Raw genomic sequence first — 21080 nt, 5'->3', positions numbered from 1 at the left:
TTTTTAAATTTTCCCATAAAATGTATAGTTACAATCCCATTTTAAAAGAATCACATAATGCTTGCTTAGGAAGAGCAGTTTAACATGCATAGTTAAATATTTTGAAAACCATGTTTTGAGTTACAACCTCATTTCTAAAATATGACAGGAAACCTCATACCCATTTCTTGTTAAAATCACATAGGACAATTGTTAAGAACTTAAAATGTGCAAGATAGTATATTAAGTGCTAAAGAAAATACAGTAGTTTTTCCATAATTGGTTATTAGTTGGTTATTAATAATGGAGTAGAAACTGATTCACATTATGATAAAATCACAGATGTTTTATGTTTTCTAGGTAACATTAAAACATGTCTCTGAACTGGTTTAATTTCCTTACACATCTGCAAGGAAGAGAGACATATTTAATTAGTAACTATCTAGACTAAAAATTAGGTAAAGAATTAAGATGCATCTTTAAATGCAAGAATTACTGTGTGTTTTTAAGCACTTTAAAAAATTCTTACATTGTTGAGTATGCAAGGAATGAAACTAATGATACAAATTTTATTAAATTCAAATCCTAGCTTGAAACTGGAATCCTTGTGACCCCTTTTGTATAAATTACCACCCTGAAATGTTAAAAATTTCCTAGTGTTAAACTAGATCACATGATATGCACTACAAGTTCTGATTCTTATATTACCCACTGGAAGTTGGAAATACGGTTTCACATTTTTGCCTTAAAATTATATAAAGTGAATTCAATGCTTAGTTGTTACTTGTGGGTATTTTTCATGAGCTTAAAACAATAATTGCACTTTCGTATTTCCAAAAAGAAATTTTTAAAATGTAATCCAGAAGAGCAACAGTCTGAAATATTTTTAAGACCTTTAAGATTGATATTTGCCACTTTGAAAAAAAAAGTACATTCTTCAAAGTTACTCAGTGACATTGCAGATATGTTTTGCCCAGTTAATCTCTTTCCCATCAAAGATTGTGGGCTTTTTACAAGTACTTTTCTGATTCATTCTTCAATCACAAGGACTACAAAAATCTCCATCTGCCACTTTGCTATTTTTGGATCAGTTCAGATATAATAAAGAATGTGGTTACTTGCTTTGACCAAGTAGTTAGGATGTATACTCTATTTTTCTAATAAAAATGATATGTCCTATTGATAGTGAAAAATTTGGTGACAAAAATATATATATGACATCTTGAATTTTTAAACACAAGTGCACTCTATTTAAAATAACCAGTAAAATAGGAATGTATTCTATGAGCAACAGCTGGTGGGGGAAAGATTTTAAAAAGCACAATCTTTGTAGTCAATCACAACAGGGTCTGAACAAGACACCTAAACCCCACTTTCCTTATGAGTTGGCTAATGTGACAACTTTTGCTTCAGTTTGCAGTAGTATCAAAAGAGAGAACAGCTAAGATCAAAGTCCCTGAGTGTTGCCAGTCATTGGACACACAGAGTACAACATTCATGGTTTCAAGTAAAGGTCTGAAACTCTAATATAAGAGCACAGGATATAAGACAGAGGAGTGTTACCACCCACGTAGAACTCAAGAGTATGTACCCCCTTAGTGAGCCCCCTTAGTGAATTTATATGTGTTATTTTTTATTCACTTGTCTAATATAAGAGGTTTGCTGGTTAAAGATTTTGAGAACCCTACCCTGAGCCCCGGGAGGAGCTTCTGTGTTTCCCCAGTATTCATATGTAGGACTCTCACGTAATTTTCTCAGAACTTAGCTCAGGCTTGCCAACAGCCAATCCTTAATCATGTTCTGGATCTGAATTTACTTCCCCCTCAGGTATTTTTCTTCTGTAATCTCATCTTGCTTCCTTATAGTCAATGTCTCTTGTTTGACTAATTAATCTGTGAGCATATCAACTTATTTAAAATCTCCAATTGAAAATAAACATGAAAGGTTCATAAAAGGACAAATGGAGACACTGAACCTCATCAAAATTAAATATTTGGCTTTGTGAAAGACTGTTCAGAAGAAAAGAAAAGCTACAGACTAGGGAAGATATTTGCAAATCACATATTTAAAAAAGAACTATGATCTGGAATATATAAAGAATTTTCAAAACTCAACAATAAAATAACAATCAAATTAGAAAATGGGTATGGCTATAAACCATAAAGTGACATAAAGGATAATCTTAAGATAATTAAAGTCAATAAAGATGATCCTACAAGATGAAAACAATTTGAAAGTATACAATAAAGACAGAAAATAATTTAATTTCATGGTAATTTATCTGCTAGAGTGGAGAACACTTCGAATTGATTAAATCATTCAAATTTATTTTAAAACTTGAAAGTATAGAAATTACAATTAAAAATGACTCCCTGTGTTCCAGGGAAGGTAATGAAATTCAAAATTCAAAGCTTAAGATAGATTTCCTCAATCATCTAGATACATCAAACTGGTAGAAATTAGAAACATTAAGCTATTCTCCTCTTTCTCAACAGAAGTATACAATAGAAAAATAGAACAAAGTATACAACAGAAGACAATAGAACAATGTTAACCAACACAGTTCTAAAACAGAGAAAGTGTGACTCAAAAAGATTATTCCCAGCTTTACTCAAACAACATCTAACCTTAGACATCCTCTGTCCCTCTTTCACCTTCTTTGCCAGGGTATTTCTCACCACATGGTGTGGAATACCTATGAGCCTACAAGGAAATCACAACTTTTACAGAAAACTCAGAAATGTGAGAAAGATGCATGCTCACCCCATGCATGCTGACCCTCATCAGATGGGTGATGGGAGCTAATGTATAAATCCAAATGCCTTTTATCCTTGAGGTGAACAATTCTGAAATACATCCTAATTAGCTCTATAGAAATTCCCATCTGGACCAAGTCCCAGCTACCTACAGCAGTAATTAACTCAATAACTCTCTTCTGTTTTATTATTAATTTTGAGATGGAATCTCACTCTGTCACCCAGGCTGGAGTGCAGTGGCATGATCTTGACTCACTGCAAACTCCATCTCCTGGGTTCAAGTGATTCTCCTGCCTCAGCCTCCTGCGTAGCTGGGATTACAGGCACCCGCCACCATGCCCAGCTAATTTTAGTATTTTTAGTAAAGATGGGGTTTCGCCATGTTGGCCAGGCTGGTCTTGAACTGCTGACCTGATGTAATCTGCCTGCCTTGGCCTCCCAAAGTGCTAGGATTACAGTCGTGAGCCACCACTCCTGGCCCCTCTTCTGTTTTGGTCTTTGTGGCCCTACATTCTCAATCTGATCACTATTCAAAATAAACTGCCCCATGAAAGTCTTTTGCCCCAGTTCTGATTTCCAGAGGAAACATAGGCTAATAACATTTGATCCAGTAAAGTATCAAATTAGGCAGAAAACAGACCCACAGAATGAAATTTTGGAACTGCATTGAAGAGTGAAATATTGATAAGTACTCTGTTGCTGATACAGTGTGGGTTGATGTTAATCCCTGACATTCTGTAGCTTCCCAATTATTGAGAGGTAGATTGGGATGAAGTACAAATGAAAGTAAAGCATTGGCTTATGTGGCAGCTGTGGGACTTGAGCATTATAGGGTCAGCAATAAGTAGATAAATTATGGAATCACCTGCTTTAATGCTCTGAAAACCTTACGAAAATAAAATGACAGGCTTAGTTCAACCAATAATCAATTCAAAGTATGCTATGAAATTGAGAAGGCTGCATTAGCAGAGTTTGAAGAAACACTTATCACCTGCAGCCATAGGGTTCATTGCTGAAAAGCAGCCTCAAGATTTAATTATAAGGTAGTAGAACCTCACATGAGATTAAATATGGGACTGAGTGTTCAGGAAAATAGTGGGACCCTGACATTTGGATAGATAAAATCTAATATTTTTGAATTCCCAACCCTAGACTTCCACAGACTCCCTGGTTCTTGAAAATGTTGAACTGGGGATGTGTGGCATATGAATTTGGATAAAAAAGAATGTATTAACATGTGAGTGCTACTCTATGATGGAAAGTGTTGTGTTATGGCAAGGACATGTGGAACATTTCTTAATTGTATTAACTATTACTGCATTATAAAGTATCACACACTTAGTAGCTTATGAAACACATATTTATTATCTTAGTTTCTGTGGATCAGTAGCCTAGGCATAGCTTAGCTGGTTCCTCTGCTTCTGGTCCTCACAAGGTTGCAATCAAGGTGTTAACTTGGAAGGTTTTTTTTCCATAGGTTATTGGGGAACAGGTGGTGTTTGGTTACAGGGGTAAGTTCTTTAGTGGTGATTTGTGAGATTTTGGTGCACCCATCATACCAGCAGTATACACTGCACTCAATTTGGAAGCTTTATCTCAAGACTTGACTGAGGAGGTATCCACTTTCAAGCTCCTGCAGTTATTGGCAGCATTCAGTGCCTTGTGGATGGTGGGACCAAGGGACTTCGTTTCTTGATCTATGGTCCCTGAATAGGGTAGCTCACAATATGATTGCTTGCTTTATCTAAGCCAGCAAAGTCTCCCCACAGGATGGATTACAATGTCATATAACATGATGGCAGAAATGACATCCCCTCTCCTTTGCCATCATCTATTTGTTAGAAGCAAATGAGAGCTTCCTACACTCAACTTTAGGGGATTATACAAGATCATGAGGACCAGGAGGCAGGGATGTGTAGAGGCCATCCTTGGGTCTGTTTGCCACGCAATGCACTGCAGGAGGACTCTTGGAGCTTGCTCAATAGTCTCAGGTAAATGAGGAGAAGCTACTGGAACTGCCTTGGATGAATATTGATGAAAAGTTTAGAAGACTTGGAGAGATGAAGATATTCGAATAGGTTTAATATGTGATATTAGAAACCTCACCACCTAGTTCTGCTTCATAGGAAGACATTCCCTTCACTAGAGCAATATGAAGACTGTATGAATAAGACTTTGAAAACACAGGCAACAAAAGCAAAAATAAACAAATAGAATTATATTAAACTATGAAGGTTCTGCACAGCAAAGAAAATGATCAACAGAGTGAAAAGACAAGCTACAGAATAGGAGAAAATGTTTACAAACAATTTGTGTGACAAGGGACTAACAATCAGAATATATAAGGAATTGAAGCATCTCAATAGCCAAAAAAAAAAAATCCGATTAAAAAATGGGTAAAATGTCAACATCACTAATCATTAAAGAAATACAGATCAAAACCCTAATGAGATACCATTTCACTCCAGTCAGAATGGCTATTACTAGTGAGCCGAGACTGCACCACTGCACTCCAGCCTGGGTGACAGTGAGACTCTGTCTCCAAAAATAAATAAACAGATAAATGAATAAATAAATAAATAAATAAGTCAAAAAATAACATACTGGCAAGTTTGTGGAGAAAAGTGAATGCTTATACACTGCTGATGGGAATACAAATTAGTTCAGCCATTGTGGAAAGCAGTTTGGTGATTTCTCAAAGAACTTAAGACAGAATTACCATTCAACCCAAAAATCCCATTATTGAGTGTATATGCAAAGGAATATAAATTGTTCTGCCATAAAGGCACATATATGTGTATGTTCATTGCAGCACTATTCACAATAGCAAAGACATGGATTAAGCCTAAATGTCCATCTACAGTAGACTGGATAAAGAAAATGTGGTACATATATACCATGGAATATTATGCGGCCATAAAAAATGAGATCATGTCCTTTCCAGCAATATGTATAGTGCTGGAGGCCATTGTCCTAAGCAAACTAACACAGGAACAGAAAACCAAATACCACATGTTCCCACTGATAAGTGGGAGCTAAACACTGAGTACACACGGACACAAAGAAGGGAACAGCAGACACCAGGGCCTACCTGAGGGTGGAGGGTGGAAGGAGGGTGAGGATCAAAAAATTACCTATTGGATACTATGCTGATTCCCTCAGTGATGAAATAATCTGTACACCAAACCCCACAACACACAACTTACCTACATAACAAACTGGCACATGCACCTCTAAATCTAATATAAAAGTTTTAAAAAATGGACAAAATAATTGGAACAGATATTTCTTAAGACACACAAATGGCCAACAAATACATGAAAATATGCTCAACATCACTTATCATCAGGAAAATGCAAGTTAAAACCACAATGAGGTATTATCTCACCTCAGTTAGAATGGCTATGATCAAAAAGACAACAAAAAAATAAGATGAGGGCAAGGATGCAGAGAAAAGGAATTCTAGTCTACTGTTGGTGCAAATGTAAACTAGTACAACCACTATGGAGAATAGTATGGGTATTCCTCAAAATCTACAAATAGAACTACCATATGATCTAGCAATTTCAGTACTGGGCATTTATCTAAAGAAAAGGAAATCAGGGTATCAAAGAGACATCTGCACCATCATGTTAACTGCAGCACTATTCACAATAGCCAAGATATGGAATTAAGTTAGGTGTTCAACAACAGATGAATAGATAAAGAAAATGTCACACACACACACACACACATACACACACACACACACAATGGAATACTATTCTGCCATAAAAAATAATGAAATCCTGTCATTCACAAAAACATGGGTGGAACTGGAGTACAATATGTTAAATGAAATAAGTCTGGAACAGAAAGTTAAACACTGCGTGTTTTCACTCATAAGTGGAAGCTAAAAAATGTTGATCACATAGTTTCTATCACTAGAGGATACTAGAGACCGAGAAGGATAGAGGGAAATGAGGGATATGGAGAAATTTGTTAAAGGTTACAAAATTACAGCTAGGTAGGAGGAATAAGTTCTAGTGTTCTATACCACTGTAGGATAACTAGTTAAGAACTATACACATAGTTTCAAATAGCTTGAAGGATGATTACGTGTTTACAATACAAAGAAATGTTAAATGTCTGAAATGATGGATATGCTAATTACCTTGATTTGATCACTATACTTTATATGCACTGAAACATCACTATGTACTTCATAAATACGTACAATTATTATATATTAATTTAAAATAAATGTAAAAAAAAATGAGCTGCTGAGTAGGGCTGACTGCTTTTTTGCACCAGGATTGAGCAGAGCACATCATGCTGGAGACCCAGACTCTATACTATCAAGGGGGATAATAGGATCTTGGCATGGCAGAGGCCAGAAGGCAGCACCCAGCAGAGAAAGGCAAACTGGAGGTAAGAGCCGCAAAATCCTTATGTTATATTTTCTATATCAGAAAAAAGCATAAAAGTTTATGAGTCATTTTTAGTCCAAATGTCTATGTGAATTTTCGTGTCTAATTGAGGGAATACTCCCACATTGAAAATGAACCGAGACAATAAGATTGAATGGCATTTTGGAAACAGCTGCGATATAATATATTGGACATGGATTTGCAGTAATCGTAACCTTGGAAAAGTTGCTTAAGTTAAACCTCAGGGTTTTTTTTTTTTTTTTTGGTCTGTAAAATATCTCTTGGATGCTTCTTGGTGACATGCATGATTCTAGGAACTGGTGACAGAATGCTGTGCCAGTAATTCTGCTGGGTCCCTGATTTGCTGGAATGCCAATGGAGGATAGGGACACTGAAGACATTTAAGAAGACTATATAATGACCTTAGTGACAGGCGCCCTGAGGAAAAAGCAGAGAGGTTGAGGGCTATGATAGATGGAATGACCAAGAAATCCTTCATGAACAGGTGGCATTTGAACAGACCTGAGTAAAATGAAGACACCATATGACTTCTGAGGGGCAACAAGTACAAAGGCCCTGAGTAGAGACCATGATTCATGTATTTGAGGTGTTGCAAAGAGTCCAGGGTGGCTGCTGCTCAGAGAAATAGTGAGAGGGAATTAGAAAATAAGGCTCCAGAAGTAGTCAGAATTCAGATATCTGGATAATTGTTTTGAAGGTCAAATCAGATAATATCTGTAATATTTTTGGTATGTAGAAGTGCCCAGTTTAAAGGTCCAATGTAAGTTATCACCTCATCTGAAACAAGCATACCATGGGAATGTTGAAGAACCAAGTTTAGGTCTCATCAAAGTATAAACTGTTGAATTCTGTAACATGTGGGCATGTCATGACTCAGAGAAGCTACAACTCTCAGCTTAGTGGGTTCAGTATGTGTCAGAATTATCATTCTTCTATGTAAAACTGGTAAAGAGACTAATAAAGGGTTTTACAGTTTGGGCCTACATTGTGAATCCTGTCTTCAATAAAGTAAAATAATTTTTTAATATAACCCCTGGGGTTTCTAATCAGAAGAGTCTAAATTACAAAGGAGGCCAGAGTCAGCAGGATCACGTGAAGCAGCAGGGACTTGAAAGACATGGCTGGAGTCACTGAAGGCTACTTTGCATTCAATCAGCTTTATTTGAAAGAAGAACAATCATGTTACAGAACAAATCAATAGCATCCAGGAAGTGCTGACTATTCAGGGATATTAGGTCTGATATGCTGAATATGGTCCCCAAGGTGCCAACTTTCTTTTCTTTTTTTTTTTTTTTTTTTTTTTGAGATGGAGTCTCGCTCTGTCGCCCAGGCTGAAGTGCAGTGGCGCGATCTTGGCTCACTGCAAGCTCTGCCTCCTGGGTTCACGCCATTCTCCTGCCTCAGCCTCCCGAGTAGCTGGGACTACAGGCGCCCGCCACCACACCCAGCTAATTTTTTTTTTTTTTGTATTTTTAGTAGAGACGGGGTTTCACCGTGTTAGCCAGGATGGTCTTGATCTCCTGACCTCGTGATCCGCCCGCCTCGGCCTGTCAAAGTGCTGGGATTATAGGCGTGAGCCACCGCGCCCGACCAAGGTGCCAACTTCCTTATCCTGGAACCTTTGAATATGTTGCCTCCTATAGCCAAAGGACTTAGTAGATGTGATAAGTAAAGGGTCTTGAGATGGGGAAATTATCCTGCATTTTCTGTCTGGGCCAATGTATCACTTGAATTCTTATAAGAGAACCATAGGAGGGCCAAAGTCAGAGAGAGAAATAGGATCTCCTGCATTGCTGGCTTTGAAGATGGAGGATAAATCCATGAATCGACAAATGCAAGAGGTCTCTAGAAGCTGGAAAAGATAAAGGAGTGCATTTTCTCCTAGAGCCAGCCCCCTTTCCCAGAAATGCTGCATTCCTGCTGACTCCTTGATTTTTAGCCTGATGAGACCCATGTTGGACTTACAACTTTCAGAAATATAAGATAATAAATGTGTGTTGCTTTAAGCCACAAAATTTGTGGTAATTTGTTATAGCAGCAGTAGGAAATTAACATCCTGGGAAATCAAATGCAACAGTTAGAACAAGGTAACCATATTAAAAAGAAATGGAATTTTTTTTAAAAAATCGAGATTTCTGAGGAAGGGTCTACATAGACCTAATGTGGGCTAGGACTTGCCAAATGTCCCAAGCTAACAAAGTGGAGGATTACAATGCTCATCCAATTTCATTTTTAAGTAGGGTTGTGTTGAAATGTGTGGATATGTACGTAGACTATAGAATGTAATCGCTGGGTGCATTGTTGCATTATTTCCCCTAAAGCATCTGCACTGGAAAAAGAACATAGCCTCTGAAAGCCCTATAGCTTGTATGTGAATCCTGGCCCTGACTCTTGGAATCAAAGAGGTCTGTGACTGAGGGAAGTTATGTAAACTCTATGTCTCACTTTTCTGATCTGTAACTTGTCAAATTAATAATACTTACCTCATAGGGTTGCCATGAGGGTTAACAGAGTTAATATGTAAAAATGTAGTGTCTGGCATATAGTAAATACATGCAAATGTTTTGTCATGTTACTTTTTGTTTCTCACATCCCCAAGGTTAGAATTACCTCTTATTATATTAACAGATTTGCAATACAGAAAGAATAAAAAAACATATCACGGATCACATTTTAGCCAGTATTTCACATTGCTTTTCCTATTTTCTGATATTTATATTATCGTAATTACTGTAAAACCCTTTCAGGAAATTCAAAAATGCCATGAGACTTAGACTATGTTGGCAAAATTGCAAAAATGTATTTAGAAAAGAAATATATTTATATTTCTATAATCTAGGCATTACATTATAAATGACAGTAGGCTAGTACAAAAACCATATTAACCATAGGAAATAATTTGTCAAATCAATTGCTTTGAATTTCTTGACTTATAATTTTGAAGGAGATATTTCTGAACAATTTTCTCATGCTTTCATATAGATTATCAACACTGAATACTACAGGAGGGAAGAAATATGGAGGAACTGGGTAAAGGGAAGTAGGATATAAGCTTCAAGAGATAGTAGTGACCATAACTGTATTATTCACCATAAATAAACCTATCTCTGGCTCAGTGCTTGGAAAAGAGTAGACATTCAACAAATACTGTTGAATGGATGAATATGTGAACTAAAACTTTCCAGTGCTTACTCTGAGTCGATTATCACTCAATTTTTACAGCAACCTTGTGAAATAAACATTAGCATTATTGTCTTCTTTGTACTTATATTTTGTCAGTATTTTTATTTTATTGATAATAAAACTCAGGCCTAGGGAATAATTCGTTCAAGATAGTATATTATGATACTGGGATTCAGAAGCACATCTAAGTAACTTCACCACCTGCAGTCTTTATATAAGCATATTAAAAACATAAACCTCTTGACACCACTATAGTCACTATTTCTAGTGCACAATTGTAGAGTCAGCCCTCAATAGAGGGGAGTGGGAGGCTGATTGAACATTCTTTTTAAGTGCACTTTTTAAGGGCACTATTCTACCAAGAGGACTGAACCCCTTGCCTTTGAATGAAAAAGGTTTTCTATAATATAAATTATAATTTAGATAGGGTATAGAATCTAAAATCATTAGCATACTTTATCTAACAACTTCTACATATGAGAGCAGAGGTAGCCACATACAGGTCAGGGCTAGTAGGTAGGATCAATGCTTTGAAATAGGCCAGTTGAAGCCAGGTAGATTCATTTGGAGAGAAAAATCTGTTTCCCAACTGCAAACAGTTGTTTGTAATGAAGTTTAGGCAGACCAGCTCAGATCCATCATCACTCTCAGCCCAAATAGCTCCAAGTACATGCCCCACTGATGGGGGATCAATAGCATTGTTATATACAAAGGCTGCGCAATCATGTGCTTACTGTTGACATGTTGATGGCTGCCACCTATGCTCAATATAGTATTCTTCCTATGCAGAATTGATAGCCTCAATTCCTAGAAAGTACCTACACAGCATTTTTCAACATTGCCACTTATTTGGCTGACATCTATGTATCTTTTTGTATCATGTCCTTAATATATTGGGAGGTTCCTGCCAACACCCTCAGCTTAAATGTGGTAGAACTGTTCTAGCTTCAACGAACTGGATGCATTCTGCTTCCATACACAATGAAGATGTTTAGCACAGAAAGGAGGTGTGTTCATGTTCAAGGACTGCATTATACCACAGATAATGTTAGACAGTCAACAGTGAGTCATTTTTGCTGAGTTCATAAACACAAGCTTTGTGATTGGAGTTCTCCAGCTTTAGATCAACTCTGTCATTATCATGTTTTAAAATCACAATTTAAAACAAAAGAGTAAAATATTGTTAAGGGTCAACCACTGAAAGCTCAGGTTATGATTATATACCAAATATGAGAATATCGACAAGCTCCTCCAAGCCAGGGACTGTGTCACTGCATCTGTATATACATGTTTGCCAGATACATAAGTTTCTTTTCTTTTTTTTTTCTTTACATCCTTAACAGCATTTGATGATGCCACTGGTTTTTTAACTGTTGTGATACATGTGTAATGATATTTCATTGTGGTTTTTTTTTACATTTCTATTTTTTAATTATAGCATGTTAAGTTTTGGGATACACGTGCAGAACATGCAGGTTTGTTACATAGGTATACATGTGCCATGGTGATTTGCTGTACCCATCAATCTGTCATCTACATTAGGTATTTATCCTAATGCTATGAGTTTATTTTCACCTTTAAGTTATCCCGCTTGAGTCAATTATAATATCAAGAAATTATATACTGCAAAATGTGAGAGCAATAAGCACAAAACTTACAAAGGTGAACATCCTCTTATTTAAGCATTACCATAAAAATCACACTAAATATATTTTTACATTTTTGCCACTGCACATTCTTAGACTTAATATTCAGTTCTTCCCTATCTGTAAATCTTGAATAGTAATTTCCATCCAGTCATCAACGCTGCATCATATACTCATGCTGAGCATTAAATATCTGACATGAGCTTGCAGATGATGATGAGTTATTATTATGGTAAATAATATCTATAATGGCTACTGATTTTTTCACACTAATCTGACCAGTGTATTTAAATAGTGATGAAAACCATACAACATTTTAAATTATGATAAATCTATTTAAGATAAAAATCAACTTTTCTAATATTCCTATTTGGGGCAGCTTTTTTTCAATACTTTATATAGACTGACTATCAGGGTATTATTCATTTTCTCCAAAGAAGTATTTTATTTAAAATTTAAATTTAATATAAAATAAAAATTTAAATTTAAAAAATTATTTATTTAAAAATATATTGAGCTTCTATATTGAATGTATATAATAAGTTATCAGAATAGGTTGATATATAAGTATTAAGAAATTATACACGGCAAAATGTGAGATTTTAAGGAATCTCACATAGGACTCTCACTAAGGAAGATTTAGTGTTTAATAAATGTATCTGAAATAATCATTTAGAATTGCATAAACATATGCATGTTAAATCAATGAGTAGTAAATGATGTAAACAAGTAAAAGTCTATAACTTCTATATGCAGAGAAAGTGCCTACATAAATTTTTTCCACTTTACTTAAATGCTATGTCTCAGGAAAAGAGTAAGAAAAACAAAAGTTAATCTACTGTTATATATTCTGGTTCTCCTATTTTTCTTATTAAAATTAACATTATCAGTCAAGGACAAAGTTGTTGTCCTCATTTCTTGTTATATGCGGAAGGCTTTGGTGTGATATCTATCAGCTCTTTTTAAATCAAACTGATATTGGCTAATATGGATTAGCTGCAGGAACTAAGTAACAAAGAATCGACACAAAACTCCTGTGACAACTTCACTGAGAAAACGTAAGGACTCATCCATAATGTTTTCATCAGTTTGAAGAAGTATTGAACCTAGCTGTTTCACCAGAAACTTACAGCAGTTTGCAAAATGCTGTAAACTCCTATTTCTAAGTCCATATTTCAGCACAGGCAGTGGGCTTGCATTTCACTAAATAGACAGCTCTTACATCAAATGAGTCAAAAATGACGCTCTTTTCATATTCCCTTTTCTCTACTTTTTGTTTTATCTATAATATTGTATTTCTATTATGTGACTAGCATTCTGCTAAATGAGAGGAGACACCTTAATAGTAGGAGTCATGGTTTCTATTGGTGACTCTTAATAAAATTTGTAATTGATTCAAAACAAATATGCAAAAGTTCTAAATGTATTTCCCTTCTTCCTCCTCTCTTCTCTTTTTCCACCTTCTCTTACTTTTTACTAATTTTTTCACCTTTTCTATATCTTTTTCTCTCTTTCACCAGCCTCCCTTTCATCTTTATAATTATTTATTAAACACATAGTATATGTGATAGATAGCAGCTTATCTCAGAGTGATTTGGTACTGAGGGATTTGATTGTTAATGGGTGATAAGACAAGTATATAAATAGCTTAAATAAATTTTAAATACACACAAAAAGTGTCATGAGAAAGGCACAGATAATTCATAATGCATTTGATTTTCCCCCCTCCCTTGATTCCATTTTATCAGGTTTTTTTCCCAAAGTATCAACTCACAAGATGATCCAGGAGGAATATAAGCTATGACTGCAATGGTGCCTTTCATTAATTATTTATGATATACTTGTTTTTCACAGATTCTGTCATTTTCATGAGAAAGTACAGGTGGTCCAGTCCATTAGCCAGAGATTCACAATGGGTATGTGATAGGACACCCTGGCGTACAGGAATTGGGTGACAGGTATGCCAAGATATGGATCCCCTCAACCCTTGGGAGAGCTGGTAGATTTTTTTTGACATAAAGAGCCTTGTTAACTACCCTTAGATTGCTATAAAAATATTTTCATTTTTTATGTGTGTCATGATATGAAAAGTTTCAGTGTAACGCTAGGAACTAAAATATTTTTGTAGTCAACACTGGCTAGCAGTACAAAAATTTACTTTAGCATTCTTAGCCACAATTTCTAATTGGTAAGCAAACTTAGAAATTCCTTCTTTTTTTCTCTCCACCCTCTTCACAGATGGAAATCTGAAAAAAATCCCTATGCATTACCAATATGTCAGAATTTTATTGAAATTTTACTTTGAAGTACTCTAAATTATTAAATTAAAATAATGAATAATTCTTTAAAAAATATTTAGTCTTCTATTGAACAGAAATGTGTGAGGTGTGTCCACTTAGTCAGGTTTATGTTATATCGCTTAATAATTTTTTAGCATTCTTTAGGTGGGTCACAAAATCTCTCACTAATATTAAACCATAATACTGTACATGCATCAATTATTAAAATATATATGGTTTTTTCATTATAAATTGAACATCTTTTATTTGTATAATTGATTACCATTGTTACAGGAATATAAGTGACCACATATTTTTTGTTCATCTGACAAGGCTCCTAAACCTTATTATTCTGGTGGATTTTCAGTTGCTGACATTTTCTAGTGTCCAAAAACAATACATGGTTTATAAACTAAAACTTTAAAATTTGGAGGAGCTCATTGTATGACAGTGCATTGTACATTATTAAAAATAGCTAAATAGAGCTTCCTTAGAACAGGAAGAAGGAAAAATATAGAGTTTAGGCTTCACCAGTCAATCTTTCTTCCCTGTGACAAATTATCTCTATGTGATTGAATATTCGGTATGGTTTAAAATTTATACTGTATGCTCTTATTGAGTTAATATCAATGAATAATAACTTCAGCCATCTAAACTCCAAATTGAGAGGTAAACATAATAAGGTCCATTTAGCCCTGGGCCAATCCTAGCCTTATTTATGTAAAAGGAGAGTTGATTTTCACAATCCCTTATCTCTCCACTCTCAAAGTCTTTCTTTTTTCTTCCCCCCATTGCATAGGCACTTAAAGTTTAAGACGCTAAGCAGCTCTCTGAAGCTTTTCTATAGGCTCGACTCTAGGTGTCTAAGCTCTGGATCCCAGAGATCTTCCCACCATGATAGTTTATATAGGCCTCAGCCCTCTATAAGGTAAGAACAATAGCTTATCTGTGCCCATATGACAATGGATTGTAGTAAATTGTATTGCTATTCCTTAAGGTAAATTATTTGCTGTAAATTATATAGATCTTCTGTAACCCATGGCTTAACACTACATAATTTCTAGCAGTTGCTGGCATAAGTCAGGACAGGATAAAATATAATTTTTAATTGCCTGTGGAATCTTCAATTAATACAAATCAGGATACTTCAATTTTTCTTATTCAAATAATTGATCCTGAGACGCCCTTGTATCTTAATCCTAGAATTAAAGAATGTAGGAGAAGTATTTATTAGTATAATATTTAGCTAGTACTTTAAAAATTCTGAGTCTTTCTAATGTGTTAACAGCTTCTTATATTCAGTGTATCAAGAAATGACTCATCGCCTCTACCTCTCCCTCTCCCTCTCCCTCTCCCTCTCCCCACGGTCTCCCTCTCCCTCTCTTTCCACGGTCTCCCACTGATGCCGAGCCGAAGCTGGACTGTGCTGCTGCCATCTCGGTTCACTGAAGCCTCCCTGTCTGATTCTCCTGCCTCAGCCTGCCCAGTGCCTGCGATTGCAGGCGCGTGCCGCCAAGCCTGACTGGTTTTCGTATTTTTTTGGTGGAGATGGGGTTTCGCTGTGTTGGCCGGGCTGGTCTCCAGCTCCTAACTGCGAGTGATCCGCCAGCCTCGGCCTCCCGAGGTGCCGGGATTGCAGACGGAGTCTGGTTCACTCAGTGCTCAATGGTGCCCAGGCTGGAGTGCAGTGGCGTGATCTCGGCTCGCTACAACCTCCACCTCCTAGCCGCCTGCCTTGGCCTCCCAAAGTGCCGAGATTGCAGCCTCTGCCCGGCCGTCACCCCGTCTGGGAAGTGAGGAGCGTCTCTGCCTGGCCGCCCATCGTCTGGGACGTGAGGAGCCCCTCTGCCTGGCTGCCCAGTCTGGAAAGTGAGGAGCGTCTCTGCCCGGCCGCCATCCCATCTAGGAACTGAGGAGCGCCTCTTCCCGGCAGCCATCCCATCTAGGAAGTGAGGAGCGTCTCTGCCCGGCCGCCCATCGTCTGAGATGTGGGGAGCGCCTCTGCCCCGCCGCCCCGTCTGGGATGTGAGGAGCGCCTCTACCCGGCCGCGACCCCGTCTGGGAGGTGAGGAGCGTCTCTGCCCATCCGCCCCGTCTGAGAAGTGAGGAGACCCTCCGCCTGGCAACCGCCCCATATGAGAAGTGAGGAGACCCTCCGCCCGGCAGCCGCCCTGTCTGAGAAGTGAGGAGCCTCTCCGCCCGGCAGCCACCCCGTCTGGGAAGTGAGGAGCGTCTCTGCCCGGCAGCCACCCCATCCGGGAGGGAGGTCGGGGGGTCAGCCCCCCCGCCCGGCCAGCCGCCCCGTCCGGGAGGGAGGTGGGGGGGTCAGCCCCCCGCCCGGCCAGCCGCCCCGACCGGGAGGGAGGTGGGAGGGTCAGCCCCCCACCCGGCCAGCCGCCCCGTCCGGGAGGTGAGGGGCGCCTCTGCCCGGCTGCCCCTACTGGGAAGTGAGGAGCCCCTCTGCCCGGCCAGCCGCCCCGTCCAGGAAGGAGGTGGGGGGGTCAGCCCCCCGCCCGGCCAGCCGCCCCATCCGGGAGGGAGGTGGGGGGGTCAGCCCCCCACCCGGCCAGCCGCCCCGTCCGGGAGGTGAGGGGCGCCTCTGCCTGGCCGCCCCTACTGGGAAGTGAGGAGCCCCTCTGCCCAGCCACCACCCCGTCTGGGAGGTGTACCCAACAGCTCATTGAGAACGGGCCATGATGACAATGGCGGTTTTGTGGAATAGAAAGGGGGGAAAGGCGGGGAAAGGATTGAGAAATCGGATGGTTGCCATGTCTGTGTAGAAAGAGGTAGACACGGGAGACTTTTCATTTTGTTCTGTACTAAGAAAAATTCTTCTGCCTTGTGATCCTGTTGATCGGTGACCCTACCCCCAACCCTGTGCTCTCTGAAACATGTGCTGTGTCCACTCAGGGTTAAATGGATTAAGGGTGGTGCAAGATGTGCTTTGTTAAACAGATGCTTGAAGGCAGCATGCTCGTTAAGAGTCATCACCACTCCCTAATCTCAAGTACCCAAGGACACAAACACTGGGGAAGGCCGCAGGGTCCTCTGCATAGGAAAACCAGGGACCTTTGTTCACTTGTTTATCTGCTGACCCTCCCTCCACTATTGTCCTATGACCCTGCCAAATCCCCCTCTGTGAGAAACACCCAAGAATGATCAATAAAAAAATAAATAAATAAATAAATAAATAACTCATCTTTGAACTCCAATGCATCTAGGGAAAGCACCGCCCACTCCTATTATTTGACATCTTGGTGTCTCCTTCTTTCCTTTTTCATTTTGGATTGGTTTCTTGCAGTGCAGTTTTTTATCAGCATTACCTATTGCTTTTTTCAGGGTTCTACTTAAGTCATCCATTCATATTTTTAAATGTCACCTTCCCAGACAGTTTAATAGACCAAAATTCAAGTCTCCAAATATTTCCAGGTTTACTTAGGAATTATTAATGAATTAAAGTTGAAGAGGTGAAGACTTGGAATTCTCATTTCTGTCATAAGAAACACTAATATTCAAATAGAATTACGTTGAAGTAGATAGACAGGAACACTTGGTCCAAAGTGAGCTTTTCTATCTTTATGTAAAAGAAATTTTATGATTTAACAGCTTTATGATGCCTTTCCTTATCTTCCCTTTTGTTAAACCAACAAATTGACTTGAATGGCTTTATTTTTCCTCATTTTTTCTTGCTTATTTTGTTTTGCAAACTTCTGAGAGAGACTCAGCTATTCTGATATAAAAATATAAATACGGTGGTTTGGACCTGAATGAGACCTTTTTAAATGCAAGTACTAAATGAATATGTAACTCTAATTTAGGTGAATACTGAACAATAACATACATATGCTTTTAAAGTTTCCCAGCATTGTGCATGTTAAATTATTTATTTTTTCTCTCTTTCTCACCGGGCTGTATCTTCAAAAGCTCAGTGTTAATTATCATGGCCTTATGGGTCAGCTATGGGTACAATTTGCAGGAGTTATATGAAGTTTCTATAGCATTTGGTCTCATACATTTATTTCTAAACGATTACTTCTCTGTGGCCAGTGTGGATTATACTTTGCCAGCCCCATATGTGGCAGTGTTCTGTAAGTTTCTATATATATTTTTAGGCCAAACTATTTCTGCCTTCCCCAAGTTACTCTGGACCTCAGGAGAAAGCTAAAGAGAAGAGGTGCCCTAATTCTAGTAACAAGCTCCTCATGATTAAGATAGTAAATGCACACTTATTTCTAAAATTGGTGATTCTCTCATGTTCTCTCAGTATTTTATATATCATTTATCCTCTTCCTTAATAAAAATACTGAACTTCTACTTTAACATCGCACTGTCATTGTCATAAGGTCATGCCATTTCTAGCTTTGAGATATCTCTAAAATTTGCTCTCTCTTCATCATTTCCATTGCTGCCATCTTAGGTCAGGGCTTAATCGGGTATTCTCCAAGCTTTTAAACAGCTTCCTTTAGGCCTCCAGCTCTATTCTTTCCTTAAGTGAATTAACTATCTATTCCATACAGTAGTCAGTTTTCTCTATGACTGTGTCCCTTATCTGTTTATAAACTACTAATGTCTGTTACACATACATAGACATACTTCTTTCTCAGTATACTTTATTACTTGAGATTGCTTTAATAAGTCATCAGATCATCTGCCTCCATACTTTACAGATGCAGTTCATATGTTTGGCACACCCTCTCTTCCACAGAATCTGTTTGAAAAATTGTTCTTTAGCCATAGCATTCACAAGGTATTTAATGTTTTCTGAAATTCTAGAAAAAGTTACTTGTATTTTTCTCTGAATTTTAAAAAATCTTTTTATTCACAGGTCTCAATAATAGCAGTGTAATTTATTTGTTTTGCCTTTCTCTAATAGATTCTCTGAAGAAATGGACAGTTTTAATTGTATTTGTATCTTTTACCACCTACCATAACCAACATATTCTAGGTACACAATAACATAATGGCTTTCAAGGCTGACTCTATTAGAATCATTTGTGTAACTTATATGCAGAGACAGGTTTGGGCTCCATCTGAAACTTTTCAAAATCAACAATTCTAAATTAGTCTCAAGTTACTGTACTTCTGCTCAACTCCTGAGACCAAATAATGCACTCATAAATACATCTGGGATATATACTTTTATGAGGATTTCCTCCATAAAAGCAATTGTAAATAGAACTTTGATGAGATAGAAGTTAGAGGAATTTTCCCTGCCATCCACTATGGCATAAAATGCCTTATTGCTTCTTGACCCTCCTACAGCTAGCCTGGCTAGCTGTAGTTAGTGTTTGCATGAGCTTTGTGAGTTTGGTTGTGGTACTCTCCAGGAATCATTAAGAATGATAATAATAACATCTACTGAATACATGTGTGAGGCATGTTTATATGTGCTCAACACATTTAATTCTGACAATGACTGTATGAGTCATTATCCGTACTTTATAGATGAAAAATTGAGACTTCGACAAGGTAGGTAACCCCTTCAGAGTCAAACAGCTTGAAATCAGATAAAGCCAGAGTTAGAGCACAGGCAACTCACACCCATAGTTTATGTTCTTATATATGTCTCATCAAACATCAGCTACACAACTTATTTAGTACAAGGAGGCTAGGAAAAGATGAATAATTTTAAGACAAACAAAACAAGAACACACTAAAATCATCTAACTTTCATGTTAGATACTTTACATTTATTTTCTAATAAATGACTTAAAAAATACAAAAAGTAGTGTATTCTCCAGTTAACATTATGCAACAGTTGCATGGACCTTCCATGACAAACATTCTCAGTTACAAGCACACATATGTACTTTTTTTTTTCTTGTAACAACTGAGAGTCAAATACTGTTACCTCCATTTTAGAGAGAATGTGACTTGCCCAGTTCCACACATTTAATAAGGAGTAAAGCAGGGGCTCATATCCAGGTCTAGACACTCCAAAATGCATTGTTTTTGTTTTGTTTGTTCTCCCTCCCCCCCACATTTTAATATCTATATCATTTATGGATCACTCTCTAAAGTAAAAAAACAATTTAAGTAGTGGTCATGTGTGTTCATCTACACTACTAGGCACAGGCAAGAGGGCAATACAACAAAAGGGGCAGGATTCAACTGCATAACTTGCCTCAGTGTTTGTTTTCATTCTGTGATTGATACCTATTGTTTTATTTATTACATGGTGCTGTCACATTTCATTGATCATTCCCTTAAATGGGTTTTGACATTTCTTGCATAAATGAACTTCACAGGATCCAAATATATTAAGGAGATTTGTACGGTTCAATAGACTGATAGCTCATTCAATTGAAATGTAATGTTATTCCTCCCAGTTTTGCACAAATGTATTATAAATTAAAAACTGCTTTTCACTTTTTCACTTTCCTTACCAACAGTATTTAGACCTTCACTATTGTACTCAAGCAGCAATTTTGAATGAATTTTCCAATGCTCTTCTAAAAGTAGTATGATGGCTAAAAAATAATCTGACCACAATAATAGATAACCTGAAGTTCATCTGTGAGTTTAGAATTCTCATCATTTAAGCTAACTGTCTGGATGTATATGTGTATAGGTACACATGTAGACATTGATGATTCTATGGCACTGTAAGGTACTGTTCAGTATATTACCAAAGTTGCAAATATTTGTTTGTTAAGAAAATACTACTATGCCCCAAAGACCTGAAAGTATTAAAAGGGCTGACTTTACAGCAAATGAATAATGAGTTACCTTCATTTAATGTAAAATATAATTGGAGACTGAATTAGTCTAGCGATGTTTCTTTAATGATATGACTGCCAGTATTTT

The sequence above is a fragment of the Homo sapiens genome, chromosome 5, assembly GCF_000001405.40.
Source record: "Homo sapiens chromosome 5, GRCh38.p14 Primary Assembly".
Classification (NCBI taxonomy): Eukaryota; Metazoa; Chordata; class Mammalia; order Primates; family Hominidae; genus Homo; species Homo sapiens.
The sequence above is the reverse complement of the archived record's forward strand: the minus strand, read 5'-3'. Positions refer to the sequence as shown.